Source organism: Homo sapiens, chromosome 2 (genome assembly GCF_000001405.40).
Source record: "Homo sapiens chromosome 2, GRCh38.p14 Primary Assembly".
Taxonomy (NCBI): Eukaryota; Metazoa; Chordata; class Mammalia; order Primates; family Hominidae; genus Homo; species Homo sapiens.
In genome coordinates this window covers 52,366,388-52,391,117 of record NC_000002.12, presented here as the reverse complement: position 1 = coordinate 52,391,117, position 24,730 = coordinate 52,366,388, and the positions used below count along the sequence as shown (strand labels likewise).

Genomic DNA, 24,730 nt, shown 5'->3' with positions numbered 1-24,730 from the left:
TCATTAACACCTAAAAGGAAACTTCAAATGGATCTTGCTGAATGATATGTGGTGTTCCTCCCAAATGTCCAAACATGATTCACTAACTATGCCCAAGTCAGAGTATTTTGAATTGCCCATAGAAGATGCAATGGATTCAGAATTACTAGATAGTTCTCAGGCTGTGCATCTGTAAAATGAGGTGAAAATCAAATGTGAACTGTCATAGCTTTAATGTGACTCAGTAACTATAGTTTTCTCCAACTTCAGATTGCAGGGAAAGATGCCAGAGGATTTGGGGATTAAATCAAGAGTATGAACTACTCATAAAGAACATAGTGGGAGTCTCACTTTTAAATAAAACAATGGTGGTATTAACTGATGACTCTTAAAAATATGAGAGAAAAATATCTACATGTGAATACAATGAGTTTACTCAGGGTTAAGAAGGTTTGGATGTAGTTATAGAAAACCAGGCAGGAAGTTGACTTTGGATTAGGGAATACGAGAAGTGTTTCAATAGTTTCTATATGTTTTGAGACTGAGCACACAAGTTAAAATCTTCAAACCTAAACAGGCAAGACTCCATAATTTCTCCGTCTGAATACTCCCACTTGCAGGGAAAAAAATCATTTACTAGGTCAGGAATGAGGCTTCAACATAAGTACTGTATCAACAACTCCTTAGGTAACATTGATGCTTAATCACGTTATAGGTAGGATAAAACTTATGCCGGGGAAAAAAAAAAGCCAGCTTTCTTTTCCATTTCTGGTATAGTCTCTTATTCTTCTGCAATAGTCCTTTAGTAATGCCGTCCCTGAAAATAGTCTGAAATTCGGGCACTAAGAGCTGAATGTGATGTTTAATGCCTGCTCATCCCAATCTTTCTAGCCAATTTATTCTCTATCTGGCTGCATAAATATTGTCCCCTAAAATAATGTATTCATATGAGGTAAATTTTGAATCTCCAGTGATACCTAGGAAAATTATTTTCTCTATATATTGATGACATTTCATTAAAATGTAAAGAATAGCTTCATACACAAATTCATATATAGCACCACAGGGTAAACAATACATAATATCACATATACTTTAATAATATTGTGTATTATTGTAACAATACACAATATCACATACACTTCAGAATTGCAAGGAAGTTTCTAATTAGCTATAAAAAGCTTTGCTTTTGTATTTTTCTTGGTATTGTTCTGAGTACTTACAGTTTTTAAAAAGAGAGAAATACATCTAGGAGATTTTTTTTTTTGCCCTTCCTGAACACATATAAGAAAGAAGGTCATTCTATAGGGTAATAATAGACAGAGAATGATGGAAAGACATCCAGGTGGTTCAGCCAGGTGAGGCGAAAGGAGTCATGATTTCTCCTGAGATCTCCAGTCAGTAGAGAGAGCCCTGTAGTACAAGACAGGAACAACTTTGGTGATGTTTTCAAAAGTTTCATTTCTCATGTTAGGGAGATGCTTCTGACGCTTCTCACTGAATCTTCTGGTTTCTGTTAGAACAGCAAATCAGTCTCATTTTGGGACTCAGCTTTAGGAATCCTATTCCAATACCAGATTTATTTAGTAATAAAGTCAATATTTGTTTCTCCATCTGCCTACTCCGTTGTCTCTCTTCTGCTTCCAAACTTGGAAAGGAACACAAAAAGATTCACACTGCAAAATAGAATTTTACTAAAAATGTACTTTTTTCTGAAAGTGTAAACAGAAAGCCAAGTATACGAGGTGGCAGAAAACACTTTGAAAAACAATAAACCTGTGCACAAATATGTGGCTGTCTTTACTCATTCAAAGCTACTCTTGCATAATCTGTTTACTGCTCAGTAATCAGCTTGATGCTTTAGTAAGTACAAATTAATAGTAGTTGTTATTACCTGAAGAGGAACCTCAACTTACTTTTCCATGACAGTTCTTTGTTTTATTTTTGTGTTTAGCACGGCCATCCTCCCAGCATCTAACCCATTTTTCATAACTTATATTAAATATCCTATTATTAGGCCAGGTGCGGTGGCTCATGCCAGTAATCCCAGCACTTTGGGAAGCCGAGGTGGGTGGATCACGAGATCAGGAGTTCAAGACCAGCCTGGCCAACATGCAAAAACCCTGTCTCTACTAAAAATACAAAAATTAGCTGGGCATGGTGGTGGGCGCCTGTAATCCCAGCTACTCTGGAGACTGAGGCAGGAGAATTGCTTGAACATGGGAGGCGGAGGTTGCAGTGAGCCGAGATCGCACCACTGCATTTCAGCCTGGGCCACAGAGGAAGACTCTGTCTCAAAAAGAAAACAAAAAACAAAAAACAAAAACCTAGTATTTCTAAGTACTTTTCTTATCCTCACCCTTCAGCTGAAGATGCATTTTTTTCTATAAAAATCTCATAAAACTTTGTTACTTTTCTCCTATTCAATTTTATATTGTTTTTATTTGTTTAAAAATATTTTTCTAGTAAAATATTAATGTCTTGAGGGAATAAACTGAACCCTATTTAGCTTTAAAATATGGCTGGGTGCAGTAGCTTATGCCTGTAATCTCAGCAGTTTGGGAAGCCAAGGCAAGAGGATCAGCTGAGGCCAGAAGTTTGAAACTAATCTGAGCAACACAGCAAGACCCAGTCTCTACAGTAAATAAAAACTAAAAAATGTAGCTGCGCATGGTAGCATGCGCCTGTGGTCCCAGCTATTTGGGAGGCTGACGCTAGAGGATTACTTGAGCCTAGGAATTCCAGGCTGGAATGAAATGTGGAGAGTTGCTGATGATGAGGACATAGATAAGGTTATTTTGGGGCCCAGAGGCTGGGAAAGGGGCACTGTCACTATTTCTGTATAGATCAAAGAGTATCTCTCGAGTCAGTGAGTGCTGATGGTATCTCAACATTTTTTAAACTTTGGGAAGAAATCAGAAAAGAGCTTTAAGGCAGTATAATGCTCCTCTAGAGAAGAGGCAGCTGTGAGTAGTAAGGTGGGTGCTCAGAACAGGACAGGGGAAGAGCTGCAGCATCCATCTGGAGCAGCCTCGTTTTGTATAGGCACAAGGGTGGCACTCAATGAGTCCTTCTGCTTTTTCCAGTGCAAGAAAGGGAAAAAGAAGAAGATACACCTTGAAACACTACTCCACAGCATTATATTTTTCTATTTAGTTTTTGTATTTGTGTATTTGATTTCCATAACACACCAGAAGTCACTTTACAACACCTTGAGTAAAGCAAGGTTTCTCAGTTTGTAGTCTGTGTGTGACCATGCAGTGTGATTTACCAGATTTGCCTTATAAATGTTAATGCCTCTCCTTTGACTTTCAAAAATGACTCAATTCAAACAACAAATTGTGTGGTCACCCCTCCATGAACCATCTGTATCATATTGTAGATCAACTAAATCAGAATACATGTGGCTGGTGCTGAGGGCCCAGGACCTGCATTCAACAGAACCGTGCAGCTAATCTCTAGGTAAAGAAGGAATTCTTTAGCTCTAGACTGTCTAAATTCAAAGCACGTATGAACTGTATTACAAAACACTAACTTTTTGAAAGATATCTATATTTGTGTTGGTATTGAATTTCAAAATCTGTAAGTTGATGTTTTTACATTGTTTACATTTATGTTTTCAAACAGTAATCTAAAGCCTCATATATAAGATTTGGCCTGTTTTAGAATAAAGACTAGATGTCCTCCTATATGGGCAAAGAAATCATTTTAAACAGTTTGGGCATATAAATTTTTCTATAATAACTCATCAGGCCTGTGTATAAAAGAGACCAAGTTATGACTATATAAACATGTGAACACTATTAGAGATATTTTAATTTCATTTTAATTGTATAAACAGAAAAAAAAAACAGAAGAATAGGGGTGAGATGTTGATCTTTTGTTCCTCCATTAGTTGTATTTTATCCCCAGTGAAATGAAATTCCTTTGAACTTTGAATTTCCTAAAATAGGATACTGAAACAAGTAAAAGCAAAATATTTTATCCAGCAGGTGTAACTTGTAACATTAAAACCTAGTACAATCTGTAAATTTAAAAAATATTCATCAAGAAAAGGCAAACATTCTCTCTTCACAATAATTTTGAATATGGTCCTGGCCTTCCATCATTTAACTTTCTAGTGCTTTGCTAGCATATGTTTTCTGGTTTTGTTTCCTCTTTCTTCTCCCTTTTCTTGACATTATCCAAAATTTACAGAGCTTCAGATTTTTCAGTATCCAAGTTGGGCTAATTATCATGGTTCAGCATATGGTGTGTTCCAAATGGTATGTAACTGAAGCTGTGTTAATATTTTTTCAGACTACATAGGCCAACAGAGCAGGATTTCCTTCTGCTTTTCTATTGTGAGATTTTATCTTAGGGGTGCTGGGTGGGAGGTATGGGACCAGCAGCAGAGGAAAATTCTTTCTTTTCCTATGGGGTACAAATAGGGAATTCATGGCTCTAAAGAGCGCAGATGGCAAGGGCTATTGAATTTGCCCAGAGAGAGGCTTCACCAGCTGTCTTGTTGTGGGAGGCACTTGGAAAACCTGCCTGACTGGCTAACACTACTAGATCTGCAGAGGAGCTGCTCATATGAAATGCACTGGTCCTGATACATGAGGTTAGGGTGGGAATGCCTCTTCCCTGAGTATATGTAGAAAAACCTAGAAAAGAGAAGAAGTCTGTCCCTAATGCCTTAGCAAAAGGTTCACAGATCCACTAAATGAATAATTACTTAATTAATTCCAAAGAAAAACCAACAGACGAATATAACCATAGCGGTAGCCTCCATTGTATACCACAAGACATGACACTGAAGAGCCTGATCTCTATACCTGCTGATGAAATACATAACCAAGAGTAGATTTAAATACATTATATAATCCTTCTAAGAAGCTTCAGCCATGTGAAGCATAAAGATCAAGATGAACAACTAGGACATGTGGTACCTATGGAGCTTAAACAATAAAAGTGAAAAACAAAAATTTTAACCAAAAAAAATGAAATGTCAGAATGATACAATAAAAACACAGAAATTAATTTATAGCTCTAAATATATGACTTTCAAATATAAACATGTAACAAATGAGGACAGAAAAAAACATTGCTGAGGACAAATTAAAATTCTAGCATATCATATGAAGAAAACACCTTATAGCAGAGGTCTGAAAAAAGAAAATAATTTCACAAATGAAAACTTATGGATAGATCAAGGAAACCAGTAATGTAAATAATAAAAATTCCAGACAGAAGGCAAAGATAGAGCAAAATAAATTATTAAAATTTTAGTGTTTATTATTATAAATAATATACTTTTAACGTGAAAAGTAATTTGAGGTTCAAACTTCAGTGTAGAAAGGGTTTACTGAATCTAAACAGTACTGAAATTTACTGAATCTAAATAGCACTAAAACTAAACAGTACTGATCTAAACAGTACTGGTCTCTATATCCTAGAGGCACTTTTGGGCCCCAAGAATAAAAAAAAAATTATATAAGATTACTTACAGAAAGAACACATTATATGCAAAGAAGCAAGAATCCAGAAAAAAATTACATTTCTCATGTGCAGCACTGCAAGCTTGAAAATGATAAAATAATAAAGACTGCTTAAAGAAAATAAATGAATTTTAAAATATTCTGTACAGCTTAAAACGTGTCATTCTTTGTTGAGGGGAAACCATAGAAGACAAGAATGCACTGCGAATGTACTCTAAGAAAAGGTACACAAATTCATACTATAAAATATATTCTAATTTGTAGTCAATAAAAATACTCAATTTTAATTTGATTGTACATAGTGAAATATAAATGTATGATGAAAATATGACTTAGAAATTTTTATTTCTTTATGAGATTATTTGAAACAGATGAAACATTTTATAACTAGAGCCAAATAACTAAATTATATCAAGTAAACTCAGGGTTTGGAATGGATGTACAGTTATCTTAAGTTCTCATCTTGTAGGGAAGTGGATCTGGAAGTATAATGCCTTGCTTTAGAGTGAGAGTGGTATACAGTCATAATTTAATGTTGGTGCATTAATACATAAATATAATTTAATTATAACTTTGGGGAAAAGGGGAAAATCATCACTAGACTGAATAGATAGCTAAATTAACAAGAATTTGTAAGAAAACAAACATAATCATGATAAAGCTAAAAGAAGGATAAAATTGGCAAATAAGAAGCAAATAAGAAGCTTCTAAGTGAGAAAGCCTCAATTTTAACCATAAATTAAAAGGAACAAATGTAAGTGTATGTCTTTTCATTAATTATTAGCTGCCTTAAATTTCATATCCTGAGAATGTCAGGATTGATTTAGAAGTAGACTCTTTCTAGATCAGCTGTCCTCAAACTTCACGTAAGCCAGGTAATTCAGCAGAAAATATAGTGCAAAAAATGTGTAATGTTACTATGTTGCAGCAAAAATATCTTCTAATCATATGAATCCTTAAATTCCTTAAATAAGCCTACCCCATTACCTCAAATAAAAAGCTGTAAGCATGTGCTTCTGTGTGCCTCTAATTCCTTGAATCCTAGTTTAATACAGGCAGCATAGACACTGAGCTTTGGCCATGACTTTGAGAGCAATAAAGGATGTACCAGGAAGTTAATCCCATGTGCACCGCTGTCCAGGAATATTCTCACATGTGCATAATATTACATTGTATTCTTGCTGGTTTGCAGGTAAACTTGGTAATATCCAATATTTTGTTACTATTAATTTAAAACCAGCCTTTGTGGCTTGGCCTACATAGAATTGCATTTCTATCCCCTTCTCATATGACACAAATAATATTGTTGTCAAATCATAACAAATTATAACAAATTATTTTGTTGTCTTATGAAGTTCATGTTTGTTTGAATTTTCTCAAATATTCACCAAATATTTGCCCACCATCATTTCTTCATTCCACTCCTTTTGTTGTGTTCAAGGTCCCTTTCCATCTTCCTGAAACACACTGTGTTAATCAGCAATTTCTCCAATAACTTCAATGTCCTACAACAATATTTACTTTTCTAATTCCTGAACCTGGGTCATTCAGGGCATCTTTGCTTCAGAGTGTGAATGAGATGGGTTTTACTCTGTGTTTCTGGTCAAGTGTGTTCCATATGTATCATTACTGGGCCCAGGTTAAAGGAGCAGAAAACCTGGAGCTTATATGCTTCATGGTGTTAGCAGGAGCACGAGAGGCAAGCCAAACCACACAAGAACATTTAAAACCTCTGCTTGCATTATGTCACTTGTCATTGGCCAAAGCGAGTCACATGGGTAACCTCAAAGTTCCTGGGCAGGGAAAGGTATCTCACCTGTAGTGGAGGAAACTGCAATATAATTTTATAACAGAGAGAGGTTGAAGCATTGATAATAATATGCTTACCATGCACATTTAGGATTGTAATAAAGTTTTGGGAGTAGGAAACTGGCCTGTGTCTAAAAATTGTTTTGGAGTTTGCAATATTATATAGCTATAGAACTACAGGGTAACAGATACTTTTCTTCAAGATATTCATTTTATTTTATTCTCTTCTTTTTCTTTTCCTCTTCCCTCCCCCTACAAGCCCTCCTCTCCCTCCTCTTCCCTCGCCTTCCTTTACATCTCTTCATCACTTCCGTCCTTCTTTCATTCCTTCTTTCCTTCCTTCCTTTTCTTTCCTTTTTCTATTTCTTTCCAGGCTTCTATTGTTTCTTTTGAGAAATTAAATGACATTCAATTTGTTCTTGTATAAGTAAACATTCCCTTCTCTTTAGTTGCTATGAGTCTTTTGTGTGTTTTTTTAATTGTATTATGCAGTTTTATTATAATGTATCCATGTGTGGATTTGTTTAAATTTAACTTCTTGACTCTCACTGTGTTTTTTGATTCTGAAGATTACTGTCTTTATCAACTTTTGAAAAAAAATCAAAGTCACTATGTTTTCAAATATTGCCTCTTTTATTTTTGGCTCCTTCTATTATAACCACTTAAAACCCTTTTTAATTAAATATTTAGAACTTTTCATTTCTGTAATTTCCTCAGATCTATCATCCTGTTTACATCACAATTTTCTATTTTCTCTTTGACTTACTCATTGATAACACATATATGCTATTTTTCAGAGTAAATCATATCACAAGATATGTGAGAGGCCTAGTGTTTCACAGTACCTGGTTTGATGTCTTATTTAATGTATTTAAATAATTTAACATACTCATTTAATGTGCTGTTTCATTTGTTAAGGATCAGTTCATGTTTGGGGGTTTCTAATTCTTCTACGTGCGTCTGTTTTCTCTTGTTCCAGGTAGATTGCTTCTCGGTGAACGGGTTTGTAATTTTTAAAGTACACATTCAACTTTTGAGTGGCCTCTTATATCTATTTAATTCTTTGTGACTTGGGTGAGAAATGTGATCATCCAAAATAGCATGGCATTTGCTTCTGCCAGAGCCCTTGGAGTTTTACCACCCTAGACCTGACTTTTAAAGGTAGAATCTTGGAAAGGGAAGAACTTGACTATTCCTCCAGAGTAATGCACTCTCCATGTTAGTGCAGGACTCAGAACCTGATTTATTAAATTGCGTGGGAGAATTTCATTTTTCTCCTTTGAGACCTGGAAGAAATGAAAAGAGTAGTACCTGCTTATCCACAGCTTTGCTTTCTGTTTTAGACACCTGCAGTTAACCAGTCTAAAATTATTAAATGAAAAATTCCAGAAACAAACAATTCATAAGTTCTAAAATGTGTGCTATTCTGAGTAACATCATGAACTCTCATGCCGTTCTGCTCTGTCCTACCGAGGACATGAATCATCCCTTTGTCCAACATATTCATGCTGTAGACACTACCCACTTGTTACGCATCAACGTTGTCTCTTCTTGACATCCAACCATTGATGTTGTCATTGCTAGATGATCCAGAATAACCCAGAGCAGATGACCCTCTTTCCAACATATTATCAGAAGGTCAGTAGTCACCTAACTCTGTGTCACAGTGCCTATGCATTTCACCTGACTTCATCTCATCCCACAGGCATTTTATCATCTCACATCATCATAAGAAGAAAGGCGATTATGGTACAATAGATATTTTAAGAGAGGGTGAGAGAACTCATTCACATAACTTTCATTACAGTATATTGTTATAATTCTATTTTATTATTGGTTACTTTTGTTAATCTCTTGCAGTGCCTAATTTACACATTAAACTTTATCATACATGTTTAGGAAAAACATAGTATGTACAGAGTTCAGTACCACCTACAGTTTTAGGCATCCACTGGGGGTGTTGAAATCCCCTGTGGTTAAGGAGAGTATACTATAGTCCAGAATTTTTCCAATGATGCAGATTTGTTTTTAGTCTACCTATTTACTGTGAGCTCAGACCTAATAGGGTCCCAAGGACATTGTTTTTCTCTCAATTCCTTACTTACAAGGACTGATTCCTCCTCTAACACCCAGATCAGTTCCGGAGTGAATTTATGTATCCACTACTATACTATTCGGTTCACATTGTTTCTAGTTAGGGTGATTGGGGATTTCTTACTTGCAAGCTCAGCAGGGTACTGAAATGATTATAACTGGACAAAGCATACTTTATCCATTATTTCTAAATGTCTGTGGCAGGATGGTTTTAAGATTAATCTTAATATACCAAATATTCAGAATTGGAAAATAGAATATCTTCAATGTAAAGCTATTTATACTGGCAACGAATAACATATTTTACCTCTTTTAGCTACAAAATGGTATGTGTATGTATATGTGTGTGTGCATATGTGTGCACACCTTCACATAGAAAAGCTTAATATAAAATAAAAAACTATATTATGTCCCACATTCTGATTGTATCTAATAAAACCAGAAATATTTAACTAAGCCTTTATTTTTTAAGATGGATTAGTAGGAACATTGGGTGAAAATTCTCCTCAGAAAGAAGATAAAAGTTACTGGGGAATGCACATGTTCCAAATGGAAAACTGAGGAAAGAGAGCCAGGACCTGTCAGAGCGCGTATGGGAAGAAGCTGAAGTGCAGAAAAAGAAAGCAAGAGTATGACAGTGATTGACCTCCAAGGAATGTGGAGCCCAGAAGGAAGGGAAGGTGGGGTGTTTCTCTGCTTCCCTTGCCCCTTTGACTGTCTGCTAACTGCCAAACTGTTGGGGAGCCCCTCTGCCCTAATGACCCTGGGCAACACTGTCATTCGCAATTTGGGAGTTCCCAGTGACAGAGAAACAGCTGGCCAGTACTCATAGTTATGTCCACACTCCTCAGGCCTGCACTAAAACAGCAAACACCATATTGTTTGCGTGCCACCTGTGGCGGACCTCTACTCTGCTTTGCCCTTGAGTCGTGGCATCATGAGACCCCCCTTCACACACTCAAACATACACCACAACCTGTTCTAACTTTGGCAATCACAGGGGATCGGCAGGTCCCCAGGAAACTGCAAACTCCCAAACCTAACCCTTGGTGTGGGCCGCCCCTAAGAGAGCTGGAAACACAGCCTGACAAACCTTCCCTGGGGACAAAGGAGAGACAAGTGCACTGCCAATCACTGAAGAGGGTGGCACCGCCAGCCAAGAATGGACACAGAGGGGTCATCTCCCCCAACCAGTGCACTGTTGTGAACACAGTAGAGGTTTTCCCTGCTGGGGGCCAATACGTGGAGAAAGTACTTTTCATGCTTTTTGTGGTAGTTCCACCTCCATCGAAAGTGAGCCTGCACTGCTTGGACTTGCACAAAGGGTGGAGTCCAACTCCCACTCCCTACACAGAGTGGCAGCCTCCCAGCAAAGGATGGCGGGCAAACCACAGAGTTGTCCGCCCTGCACTGGGGAAAGAGGCTCCAACCTGAGCCCATGTTGGTGGTAGCCAAGGAGAAACGTGTGTCCATGGGCTGAAGCTACACTGTGGCCAGGAGCCGAAGGATAAAGTCTATTTGAACTAAAGGTCATGGGCCCTGCACCAGGGATGCAATTAGGTTCCTGCCTGCTCAGGATGAGGAACTGGTGCACACCCACTAACTCTTTCCCCTGAAACTTCAGTGCACCCCAACATGAACCCCCCTTGCAACCCTTCTCCCACTGTCAGGAAGAGTGTGACCAATGATCATCAGTCTACACAAAGGAGAGCTGGCTCTTACTCTAGAGTGCCAATTACTGGAGACTGAAGCCTGAATTGCAATGCCAAATGAAAAAAAAACCTGCTGCCAAAATGGCATAGTGTTAGTGCATGAGACAAGCTTGCTAAAACATCCCCACGCTCAGCCCCTCAAGAGACAGAGTGTCAGCTTAAATGTCCAATACACCACTACAACAAGAAGCATCTGAGAAAGCCACCACACAGAAACTATCCATAAGGAACCCATACAGAGCCTTGGGCTCCCTGAAAGCACTCAGAAACAAATAAACAAAATTAAAGGATTATACATAGCATTCAACACAGCCACGCCCTGAAGAAAACAATAAATAAAAGAATCCCATCCAAATGATAATAAAATTAAAAATAAGAAGTAATACCTCCCTCAGATAAGAATCAGTGCAAGAACTCTGGCAGTACAAAAAGACAGTATCTCAACACCTCTATATGAACATAACTCTCTAGCAATGGTTACTAACCTAAAGCAAACTCTGAAAAGACAGATAAAGAATTCAAAATATGGATTGTAAGGAAATTCAATGAGATCCAAGAAAGAGTTGAAAATCAACACAAAGAAACCAGAAAAACAATTCAGAATATGAAAGATGAGATAGCTATATTTTAAACATACATATATAATATATACTTATATATATAACTGTATAACATATATAACTGTATTATAAATATACTTATGTATATAATGTATATGACTGTATATATGACATATATAATATATAACTTCTCAAATTGAAAAATTCACTAAAATATTTCAATAAACAGTTGAAAGCATTAACAATAGACTAGACCGAGAAGAATTTCAGAGCTTGAATAGCATTCTTTTGAATTAACACAGACAAAAATTTTTTTTAAATTCTAAAATTGAACAAAATCTTTAAGAAATATGCAATTATGTACAGTGACAAAACCTATGACTTATTGGCATTCTTAAGAGAGAAGAATAAAAAGTAAGCTGCTTAGAAAACATATTTGAGGAAATAATTCAGGAAAGTTTGCCTAATCTTGCTAGAGAAGTCAATATCTAGATACAAGAGATTCAGAAAACACACGCTAAATGATATACAAAACAACCTTCACCAAGTTATATAGTCATCACAATATCTAAGGTCAACACACACACACACACACACACACACACAAATCTTAAAGGCAGCTAGAGAAAAGAACCAAATTACCTCTCATATAAAGGTAATCCCATAAGACTAACAACACACTTCTCAGCAGAAACCTTACAGGCCAGAAGAGATTGGGGGCCTATTTTAGTCTTCTTAACACAAAACAAAGTCAACCAAGACTATTAGATAAAACAGACTTTAAACCAAAAACAGTAGAAAAAGGCAAAGAAGGGCATTATATAATGATAAAGGAAATAAACAAGAAGATTTAACTTTCCTAAATACATAGGCACTGATCACCAGAGCACACATATTTATAAAACAAATAGTACTAGACCTAAGAAGAGGTAGACAGCTATACAATAGCAGTGGGGGACTTCGACAGCCCACTCACAGCACTAGACAGATCAAGGCAGAAAACCAACAAAGAAACTCAGGACTCAAATTGGACTCTTGATCTTTTTCTTATCTGTTCATGAAAAATTCTCCAAAATTTGCCATAAGCTTGGCCCTGAAGAAAATATCAATAAATTCAAAAGAAATGAAATCATATCAAGCATCTCCTCAGACCGCAGTTAAATAAAATTAGATATCAATAACAAGAGGAGCCCTCAAAAACACAGAAGTCCCGTGGAAACTAAAAAACTTTCTTCTAAATGACTTTTGGGTAAATAATAAATTAAAGCAGAAATTTAAAAATTAAAACAAGTGAAAATAGAGACACAATATACCCAAACTTCTGGAATACAGCAAAAGTGTGTTAAGAGGAAAGTTTATAGTGCTAAATGATTACATGGAAAGCATAGAAAGATGTAAAATTAATAATATAACATCACACCTAAAGGAACTAGAAAAATAAGAACAAACCCAAAGCCAACAGAAAAAAAGAGAAACAAAGATTAAAGTATAAATAAATGAAATTGAGATTTTAAAAAATCATACAAAGGATCGGTGAAATAAAAAGTTGGTTCTTTGAATGGATAACGGAAATTGATAGACTGTGAGCTAGATTAACCAATAAATCAAAAAAATAAGATTCAAACAAGTGCAATCAGTGGTATTTTTGATAACGCAGAAATAAAAAAGATCCTCAGGAGACTACCATGAACATCTCTATGCACACAGACTAGAAAATCTAGAGGAAATGGATAATTCCTGGAAGCATACAGTCTCCCAAGATTGAGCCAGGAAGAAATTGAAATCCTGAACAGACCAATGATGAGTTATGAAATTGAATCAGTAATAAAAAAAAATCTATCAAGAACAACAGCAAAAAAGCCCATGATCAGATGGATTCGTAGCCGAATTCTACTAGATGTATAAAGATGATCTGGTACTAATATTACTGAAAATATTTAAAAAAATTAAAGATAAGGGATTCCTCTTTAATTAATTCCATAAGACCAGTATCATCCTGATATAAAAATCTGGCAAGAACACAATAGGAAACTACAGGCCAATACCCCTGATGAACATAGATGCCAAAATCTTCAGCAAAATACTAGCAAACAGGATCCAGCAGCACGTCAAAAATATAATCCATTCCAATCAATTGAAGGACTTCATTGCAGGGATGCATTCTTGCATTCTTCGTTTAATATATGGAAATAAATGTGATTTGCCACATAAACATAATTAAAAACAAAAACCATATGATTACCTCGATAGATGCAGAAAAATCTTTTGATAAAACCCAACATCCCATCATGATAAAAACCTTCAACAAACTAGGCATCAAAGAAACATACCTAAAAATAATAAGAGCTCTATATGTCGAACCCACAGCCGACATCACACTTAACGGGGAAAAGTTGAAAGAATTCTTCCTAAGAACTGGAATAAGACGAGGATGTGCACTCTCACCACTCCTATTCAGCATAGCACTGAAAGCCCTAGCCAGGTCAGTTCAGCAAAATAAAGAAATACAAGGCATCCAAATAGGAAAAGAAGAAGTCAAATTACCTCTGTTTGCTGATGACATGGCCATATACTTAGTAAACCCAAAGATTCCTCCAAAAGACTCTTAGACCTGATAAATGACTTCAGTAGAACTTCATGATACATATTAATGCACAAAAATCACTTGCATTTCTGTATACCAACAATGCTCAAGCGGAGAGCCAAATTAAGAACTCAGTCTCGTTTATAATTGCCACACACACAAATAAAATAGCTAGGAATATATTTAACCAAGGAGGTGAAAGACCTTTACAAGGAAAATTACAAAACACCAATTAAATAAGTTGCAGATGACACAAACGAATGGAAGTACATTCCGTGTTCATGGAAAGGAAGAATCAATATCATTAAAACGACTATACTGCTGAAGCAATCTAAAGATTCAATACAATTCTTATCAAATTCCTATGATCATTTTTCACAGAATTAGAAAAATAAATTCTAAAATTAATGTAGAATCAAAAAAAAAAAAAAACCCAAATAGGCAAAGTAATTTTCAGCAAAAAGAACAGAGCTGGAGATACCATATTACCCAAACTCAAATTATACTACAAAGCTATAGTAACCAAAATAGCCTGGTACTGGTACAAAAATAGACACATAGATCAATGGAACAGAATTGAGAATCCAGAAATAATGCCACACATTTACAACTAACTGATTTCTGAAAAAGGCAACAAAAATAAACAATGAGGAAAGGACACCCTAATCAATAAATGGTGTTAGGAAAATTGGCTAACCCACATGCAGAAGAATGAAACTGGACCTCTCCCTCTCACCATGTGCAAAAATTAACTCAAGATGAATTAAAGATTTAAATGTAAGACCTGTAGTTATAAAAATCCTAGAAGAAAACCTAGAAAAAACTGTTCTGAATATTAGCCTGGGCAAAGAATTTGTGACTAAGACCACAAAAGCAAATGCAACAAGACCAAAAATAGACAAAGGGGACTTAGTTAAACTAAAGAGCTTCTGCACAGCAAGAGAAACAATCAACAGAATAAACAGACAACATACAGAATGGGAGAACATTTTTGCAAATGCATTCAACAAAGGACTAATATCCAGAATCTAAAAGTATAGGCTTGAAAAAAATATTTTTAAGTAAAAATACTAAAGGGTAAATAGTTTACTTATACAAAAATTATTCTACATATTTAAAAGAAACTTCCTAGTAGAAACTTAGCAAAAGGTATGAACAGTCAAGACAATAAAGGGTGAAAATGAGTCATCAATAAATACTTTATATATTTGCTCAGGCTTCCTAGCACTCAAGGAAATGAAAATAAACCCAACTAGGTACTATTTTTTTTTCTCATCAGTTCAAATACATTTCAAAACAAAAATTTAGTTCACTACTGGTGTGCCTACAAGCACTTTCGTACATTGCTGATGGTAGTAAGTACCTGAGGGAAACGAAGGTAGTAGCAACTGGTACTTTTAAAAATACACATATTCTTCACCATGTACTCCTACTTTATTTAACCTATCCTATGTTTAAAACACTAAGATATAATGCTTACAATGTAAGGTATTCGGGTGATGGATACCCTAAAAGCCCAGACTTGACCATTATGCATGTATCAAAATTGCATGTGTACTCCATAAATTTAAACAAATAAATAATAACTCACTAAGATGTAAGTACCCACATACAGGGGGTTGGTTATTGCACCATTACTTATATTTGTTAAATCTGAAATAAACACTTCCATTAACATGAACATAGTTATATAATTAATGGTGTACAATTGGTTTTTTGTCAATTAAAATAGTTATTTCTGGTAGAAACATTTTCTAGAAAAATAAAATGGCTATTTGTTGTTAGACTAGATGCAGAGAGAAAGAACAGTCTTGTTAAAGGTATCTAGATCCTCACAATAGGATTTTACGCAACTATTAAAAGGAGAATATATGTGTCTTTTCCTAGAGGTTGCTCATGACAAATCATTAAATTGAAAAATAGAATTACACTTTCTTAAAACATATATATATATTTGTGTGTGTGCAATGTGTGCACATACATATTTCCACATACTCAAAGGTTTTCTGTATCTTATTTTTGCCCTGTATTAATTATGTAAGCAATTAAGCTTCCAATTAGCTGGCCTAATATAAGAGGTAGATATGAGCTATTGGGGAGGAATGTAAAATAGAGGATGAAGAAAAGCAATCTATGATAAAATAATGCCAAATCCTTCAATGTAAGGGCATTCTAATAGAGAAAATCATCAGGTAACTCAAAGACAGAACAGAAGGCTTTTGATTATCTAAGTTGTCTTGTTAATTACAGTTAGTCTAAAATTCCCTTTGGCTGTTACAAAAAGCATTAAAATTCTTTTCTTTTTTTTTTTCTTTTCTTTTTTTTTTTTTTTTGAGACAGAGTCTTGCTCTGTTACCCAGGCTGGAGTGCAGTGGTGCGATCTCGGCTCACTGCAACCTCTGCCTCCCGGGTCCAGGTGATTCTCATGCCTCAGCCTCCTGAGTAGCTGGATTACAGGTGTGTACCACAACACCCAGCTAATTTTTGTATTTTTAGTAAAGACAGGGTTTCACCATGTTGGTCAGGCTGGTCTCGAACTCCTGACCTCATGATCCACCAGCCTCAGCCTCCCAAAGTGCTGGGATTACAGGCATGAGCCACCGTGCTCGGCCCACATTTCTTTTTCTGTCTAAGAAAGTATAATACAAAATCTATAATATTTGGTGAGTTTCTTATGATCTCATAGTGATAGGGCTTATGTTTGTAAACATCAATTTTTATAGGCTGTTACAGCTATAGATATAAGTGTGAAGGAACTTGGATTAAATGCATCTGAACCTTATATGCCATAACTGAGGTTACCTTGGGTCTTGAATTTTTTGCAGTCCAGAGAGTTAAAGGCTCTCACAGTGATGGATGGTTGTCAATAGAGTTGCATATCACAATAACTAGAAAACTTAAAAAAAAAATCTAAATATTCAGGCCTTGATCTCTTTGTCCTGAATTAGATACACTTAGATATGTGGAACTCTGGTGATATGTTTTTCCAAACTCTTCTGTGAGGTGTGCTTCATTTATTAAGAACAGCTAATCTTTTCAATTACTTCCAATCTATAGAAAATTCCATCTTAAATGTACTGAAAATGAGGAAAAGACAGTTTTTTGATTTCTAATCTGCTTAATCTAATCTAATAATGCATTCTTGGTATTTTGGTTTTATTTGAAACTTTAGGTACCTAGATTCTGAGTTTTATGAGTCAATAAGTTAAGTGTTGTTTTCTAACTCGGTGCATTTTCAGTGATGTGGCATCACACTTCCAGGTGAAGTTTAAACATTCCCATCCTACATCTTCAGCTTCAACTTGAACAACCATCTCCCCTGTTTGAGGTTCCCACTATTAGCTGTTTAATCTTTTTCTCTTTCCCCTCTGAGGCATTGTACAGAATGCTGTGTAATCCCTCCCTCAATTCTCACACACCCCACTTTTTATAACTAATTCCTGCTCATGCTTCAGATCTCTATTGAATGTTGCTTCCTAAAAGAGGTCTTCCCTGTCCTCTAGGTCTAAGTATGTCCTCCTGCTTCCCATAGCAATTTCATTTTCTCTTCATCATATTACACTTCAGTGATACAGAAATACATAAATTTGAGTAATTATTGTACAGTAATCGATCAGACTTTTTTTAATATACCAGTGGTTTCTACTTCTCAATCAATCAATAAAAATCAGTAAAATATTTATGAATACATTTCACTATTATAGTGATATCTTAGGATGCTCTCTCACCTTAACAGATTATGTAACTTGACATGTATTTTAGTGACAGGTAGGTATATTTCTCTAGGAGAGAAAAATAAAAGTTAGTATGGAATTTTTTTTTTACTTGAAATCTAATACATGTTTTTTCCAGAGAGTTGATCATAATTCCTGGGATATAACAAAGTCAACAGCAGCGGCAGCAGACTTACCTGCATCATGTGCCCACACCCAGCTCGTGGCCCTAATCTACCTTTCTAAAATTCTATAGCAATATCTCACCATGTATTCTTTAGGCCCCTACTCATTTGGACTAATTTTTGGTGCCCAAACATACCTTTCACTTTTTTCCTTTCAAACGTGTACTCATGCAAATCCATCTGGAATCTGTCTTCCCAGAACCCTCCTCAACACCTTCCAGACCTAATTGCCTTCCTCTACCTAGGCCTATTTGGGTTTGTTAATGCCAAGGACAGTACCAGGCCCTTATTCAACACTTCATATACCTCAGCACACAATAGATCAGTAGAAATGTAGAAAGTCAAACCCTCTAAGTTACATTCCAGAAAAGTAGCATTCATAATGTTTTTTTTTTCTGATTGTTTGCAATTTGCTAAATCAACAAAGTACTTTGTGTCTCTCCTTTTACTCCTATGTGCCAAACTAGAATTTTCTTGACTTTTCCTTACCTCTCCATAGCCTGGCATAGCCTTACCTCTCCATAGCCTGGCATATCACAGTATCTTGCAAATAATAGTATTTCATTATGTAATCAAATGCAAATATTTTGATAGAGAAAGATATTGCTCTTCGGTAAATGATCCTTTCCTTGTGTATGGAATAAATTACTATATTTATGGAAAGTGTGAGAGCAATATGAATTCTGTTTAGAAAACCATGAGTTCTTCCAGAGTACCAAAGCCTGTTGGGGCCTACAGAGTTAATGTTTCTAAATAAGAATCAATTTCCTAGTTATACAAGAGAGGTGCAAGAAAAAATATTAGTACAATGACAGACCTGAGTGGAAAAATGTAAAGTAAGTATAATTCAGTTTGAACAGTTATTTTTGTGCCTCAAGTTTTTTAAAAGTCAAGAATTGCCATGAGGTTCTTTAAAAATATAGATAGTACCCACATGTTTTTTTTTTAAATTGTAGATTGTGACTGGGTACAGTGGCTCATGCCTGTAATCCCAATGCTTTGGGAGGCTGAAGCAGGAAGATCAGTTGAGGCCAGGAGTTCAAGACCAGCCTGGATCACATAGCAAGACCCCATCTCTACAAAACACGCACACACACACACACACACACACACACACACACACACACACACAGAGTAGATACTTGGGTTTGCATCTCGGCAAAGACTTTTAAAACAGCTCAGAAAATTATCCTACTAGCCAATGTATCCTTTTTCTGAAGAACAGACAAGTAAAAACTTTAATAGCAATTAAACGATCTTAAGAAAATGAACATAAATGGCACCCAGAAATATGAAAGATTAAACAAACATACCTTCCAATTGCAGAATTATGACTTATTGGCTGAGTCTACATGAAACCAAAAATACTTGTTTAAATGTGAAAAAAAAATTCAACCGATTATCTAAGTACGTTGTTCTCAAGATGCTATAAGACTTGGTTTAGTTTTGGTTGAAATTACCTTATTTGATATTATGTAAACAGGCTAAATGCCATACAAACACACAATAAATAAATTTTTTCAAGTTAAAATTAAAGGTAGGAAGGCATATAGTGTCAGATGATGATGACTGAGATTCAGAGATAAAAATATTATAGGATACTAGGCAAATAGGAAGAAACTTAAAATGAGTAGTGTATGGTAAACGCAAAGTACACTGACGATAAAGGAGGAGGCAGACAATTTCATAGATTATTACATAAAAGAACATATAAGAACTTATCATGAAGTTGTATTGACTTGTCAAAGCAAATGTTATGAACAATATAGTTATTTGATTTCCCTAAGACTTGAAATGTTTAACATTATAACCCATGTTTCCTCTTCATAATGGTCAACTATTTAGGAGCTTATATTGACCTAGGTGGATCTTCTTTGGTGTTTTGTTTTGTTTTGTTTTGTTTTGTTTTGTTTGTTTGAGATAGAGTCTCGCCCTGTCACCCAGGTTGGAGTGCAGTGGTGTGATTTCAGCTCACTGCAACCTGCAACCTCCACCTCCTGGGTTCAAGAGATTCTCCTGCCTCAGCCTCCCTAGTGGCTGGGATTACAGGCGTGTGCCACCATGCCTGGTGAATTTTTTTTTTTTTTATCTTTAGTAGAGACAGGGTTTCACCATGTTGGCCAGGCTGGTCTCAAACTCCTGACCTCATGATCCAACCGCCTCAGCCTCCCAAAGTGCTGGGATTACAGGCGTGAGCCACCACACCCAGCCCCAAATGGATTTTCTGATATTTTACTTTCATGCCTTCTCTGAGTGGTATTCTAAATCTTTTGTGCCTAATGGTCTGAAATTATTTTTACTACTTCATTTTTTAAAGATTAGAAAAGAATACCTACAACATGGTTACAAATCAGTATGTCCTTGGGAATGAACCAAAATGGATAAGCAGAAGTCTGAAGTAAACAACACTGCTCTTAGACGTTCTACATTCTCTTTGTTTATGACCTTTACGGAAAATGGCCACTGATTCTACTGTCAATGCTTTCAACCATATTAAGTTGCTTGGTAGAAAAAGAAATCCTGGTTTTTGAATTTTCAAAAAAAAATTCTTATTGGAGATATGATATTTTTAACCAAAGTGCTAGGGAGTAGGTATAAAATAAAGTCAAGGCTCAGAGGCAAAGAAACCTGAGGTCAAGGCTCATATTAACCTTTTACTAGCTTCATGACTGGGAAAATTAATAACTTCTTAATATTCAGTTTTATTTTTGATAAAATATCACTAACAATCCTTGCTTTACAGTGATATTATGATTAAGATAATGCATAATAGAGAATAAAATTGTGCCTGACACATGGTAGCGAATTAAAAAACAGTGTTTTTTAGCAATGTTAATAACAGATACTATTTCAAGAAGTGTTTAGTGAGTTTTATCCTATGTAACAAGGACTGGTAGAAGCTACCTGGGATCTTGCATTCAAAACAATACTGACATGTCTACCCTCAGAGATTCACCAGGGTCCATAAAGGGTATGGCAATATGCATATAATACATGTTTTATTTTTGTTAAAAAAGTTGTTTGGCTTGCGCAAGGTGACACAGCACCATCATAATTAGAATTTAGTTCTCCTGGCTTTGGATTTTGTAGAAGTTCAGGATGGAATGTTATTTTTGTTGAGACAAATAGTTTATCAATGTAAGTGGAAATGATGGACATATAAGAAGCAATTGGTATTGTATATCTGAAGATAGGTGAGTGCATGTGACTATCAGTCAGACCTAAAATAAGACAGTGTATCTACTACAGATGGAGTTTAAAGTCTATTAGAGCAAATAACATTGCTATAAATCTTTGTAAAGACAAGACATTGTTATAGTTATGTATTTCTACAGATACCAATTTCAAAAAATATTTGAAGCAATGTGTTTAAGTCAAGGGAACTGGCCAGACCCTGAAATGATTTCACATATTACAGTTGAATTCTGATGTGAATAAGAGTAAAATAAATACATTATCCTGTTTTTTCTTCTAACTTTAGCTTTGCAATTGGACTGGTTCATTGTTAGCATCTGTAGGCTAACTTAGAATTTTTTCAAAAGCATAAATTTGATTCATAAAGGCTGAGGCTTATAGTTATATCTTTAATCATCCATGGAATGTCACACCGTTAGAGGCCTGAGGCGATGCAACATTAATTCAGCAAATATTTATTTTGTGTCAGCCTGTGTGCTAGGCAGAGTTCTATGTACATGGAATATAGTAATGAACAAAATTGAGAAAGAACTTCACTGTGGAGCTTATATTTTGGAGTAAGGGCAGATAATGAAATTAAATATAATAGAGAAATTTAATATATATTAAATATAATAATTTATATGTAATTAAATAGAGAATTTAATTAAATTGAGTATAATAGAGAAGTAAATTACACAATATATTAGAAGGTAGTTAGGTGTTATTTTAAAAATAAAAAACAGAATAAGGGGAAAGAGAGTTGAATAAGGACGAGTAAGTTTCAGCGTTAAATAAAGTGGTAATTGGGTAGAGAGATTTGAAGGAAAATTTTATAGATATGAGGAATTAGCCACTGTATGTATCTTGACAAACTTTCCCTCTTGGAAGAAATAGTTAGAACAAGAGGCTTAATAAAACTATAACAAACCTGGCATGGTTGAGGGGTCCAGTGTGGCTGGAGCAGAATGATAAGGTCAGAGAGGCCAGGAGGCCAGGTCCTGCAGGGCCTTGCATGGACTTTGACAATGGCAAGGTTTTGAGCAGAGTAGTGACATGCTATGGCATGATATTATAAGGGTCATTTGGTCTTATGTGTTTAGAATGGATACAAAAGGTCAAGAGCAAAAAGTTAGAGAACATTTCAGAGGCCATTTTATGATCCAAGCAAGAGATCATGGTAGTTTCAGTTACTAGCAGTAAAGAGGGCAAGGAACAGATGGGCTCTGAAAATATTTTAACATCAAAATCTACGGGATTTAGTAAAAAATGTAAGGTGAGATATGACAGAAAAACAAAAATTCCAGAGAACAATTTAATGATTTTGACCTAAACTGATCCATGTGAAATTCTTTTTTTTTTTCCTTGTACAAGGATGGCTGTAACTGGAGCATGCTTTTTGGCAGATAAGAAGTTTGTTTTTGGACAGGTTTTTAATTACATGTTCCAAAGGACCTGTTGAGGAGATGTCAGATACCTAAGCCTGGAATTTTGGAGAGAGGCCTAAACTGAAAATGTAATTCACAATTAGTTGTCATATAGAGGATATTAAAGCCATGAGTTTGCATGACACTACCAGGAGTGTGAGTACAAATAGAAAAGACTTGAGGACTGATCCCTAGAGCATTCCAAATGTAAGAACTGAGGTATTCCAATACTTGACTCAGAGAGCTTATGAAGTGGAAAAAAATATTTTGGTAAGCTTATAATAATATTTACTATTTGTCTATTGTGTATAAAGTAAAATCTCTTAATGCAGCGATGAGGTAGCTAACTCTCCTTCCAGGAAGGACTGTCTTGCTTTGTGCTTAGGTTTACCTTTTTCTTGTTTCTCCTGTTGAAAATACTTTTTGATATCCAAATATCTTTAACTTACTGTGCTACCCCCTTCACTATTCAGTACTCAAATCCAAAAACATTTATGTGATACTATTGGGGTGAGTAACACACAGAGCAGTTGGAAAGGAATATTTAACAGGGAAAATGGGTATTAAAAGCAAATTAACTGAATATCAATATATATTCTGCTGAGTTGTTAACTCAGCAGAATATATATTGTACAACTTATTTAGATTTCTTATATAAAAAGTAAGGATAATTATTCTTCAGATTTGTCATGAATATTGATATTAGGAAATGCAAAGTTATTGGGAACATTTTTTTTTTTTTACCATATTCATTACCATTGTTTAATTATTCTGTAATCCAAGTTTTTGTGGTTTAGTGTCTGGAGCTCTAATTTTGCCAAGTTTTTTTTTTTTTTAATATACCTACATGGTTTAAGATCTTTTTGAAAGTTTTTAATTTTAATATAGAATTTTTTTCCCTGCTCAACTGGGCATAAACAGTGAAATATATCACATTCTGCAGTTATTTTCAATGTCAGTAGTGGTAACCCTTGCAAACTTAATTTTTTTCCAAAACCAACTCTGTATTTCCCTCAAATATGCACATTCCCTCAAATATGCACACCTAAAGCCCTCATATCTATGATACTTTTCTGTATCATAGTTTGAAAAGTATCAAAATAACGTGATGAGGAAAAACAATCTAAAATCCTTGAGAAAATTAGGCAATTCTGAAATATAGACTATTGGCTGATACAAAAAGAGGCACAAAATGTCTCATGTGACTTTAACTATGGGAGAGTCATTAGATAATTAGTAGTGAGACAGTTGATTGGCTGCATTAAAGTTCCTCTCTATAAAGTATAGGAAGAATATAAGAGAATGTGGGGTCCTCCTTTCATCTGGATTCAGTGTACCCTGTCATCTTCATGGTGGGGATGCCAAGCACTGCATATCACAGCAAACTGATCTGAGGCTGGGTATTGGGGAGAAAGGCTTGTCAGGTAGGGACTACACAACCAAGCATCTCCCAAGTAGCTCACTTTGCTTCAAACTTCTCACTTCTTTCCGAAAAAGAGGTTTCTTCACAGCATTCTTCCCTTCTAGAAAGATTTCCCTGAGATAAGAAAAAATACGGCTGGGTGGGGTGCCTCACACCTGTAATCCCAGCACTTTGAGAGGCCAAAGCAGGTAGATCACTTGAGCCCAGGAGTTCGAGACCAGTCTGGGCAACATGGTGAGACCTCATCTCTACAAAAAATTTAAAAATTAGCCAGGTGATATGCACCTATAGTGCCAGCTCCTAGGGAAGCTGAGGTGAGAGGATTGCTTAAGCCTGGGAGGAGGAGGCTGCAGTGAGCTGAGATCACACCAATATGCTCCAGTCTGGGCAATAGAGTGAGACCTTGTCTCAAAAAGAGAAAAAAATACAAATACCCAATTACTATGTACAGCATTTAATTATCACTAAGCACTCACTATGTATCGGGGCTTTGCCAATGGCGAGGGAGACAGATAACAAATACGATGTGGACTTTGCTCTACAGTTTTTTATTCCTGATCAGACAACTTAGAAGAATCTGAGACCAGAAG

The 24,730-nt window shown here is 35.6% G+C and overlaps 2 long non-coding RNA genes across 2 annotated transcripts in view; both read right to left on the bottom strand.

Annotated features, from left to right (window-relative positions):
- NRXN1-DT (NRXN1 divergent transcript) overlaps positions 1 to 24,730 on the bottom strand; it is a 1,375,317-nt gene that overhangs the window by 16,800 nt on the left and 1,333,787 nt on the right. The window lies entirely within an intron of this gene.
- Positions 1,048 to 20,470, bottom strand: LINC01867 (long intergenic non-protein coding RNA 1867). The gene is made up of 3 exons (NR_135239.1): positions 20,453 to 20,470; positions 17,947 to 18,000; positions 1,048 to 1,655 (listed from the first exon to the last, which is right to left on the bottom strand). It is a non-coding gene; the product is annotated as a long intergenic non-protein coding RNA 1867 (long non-coding RNA).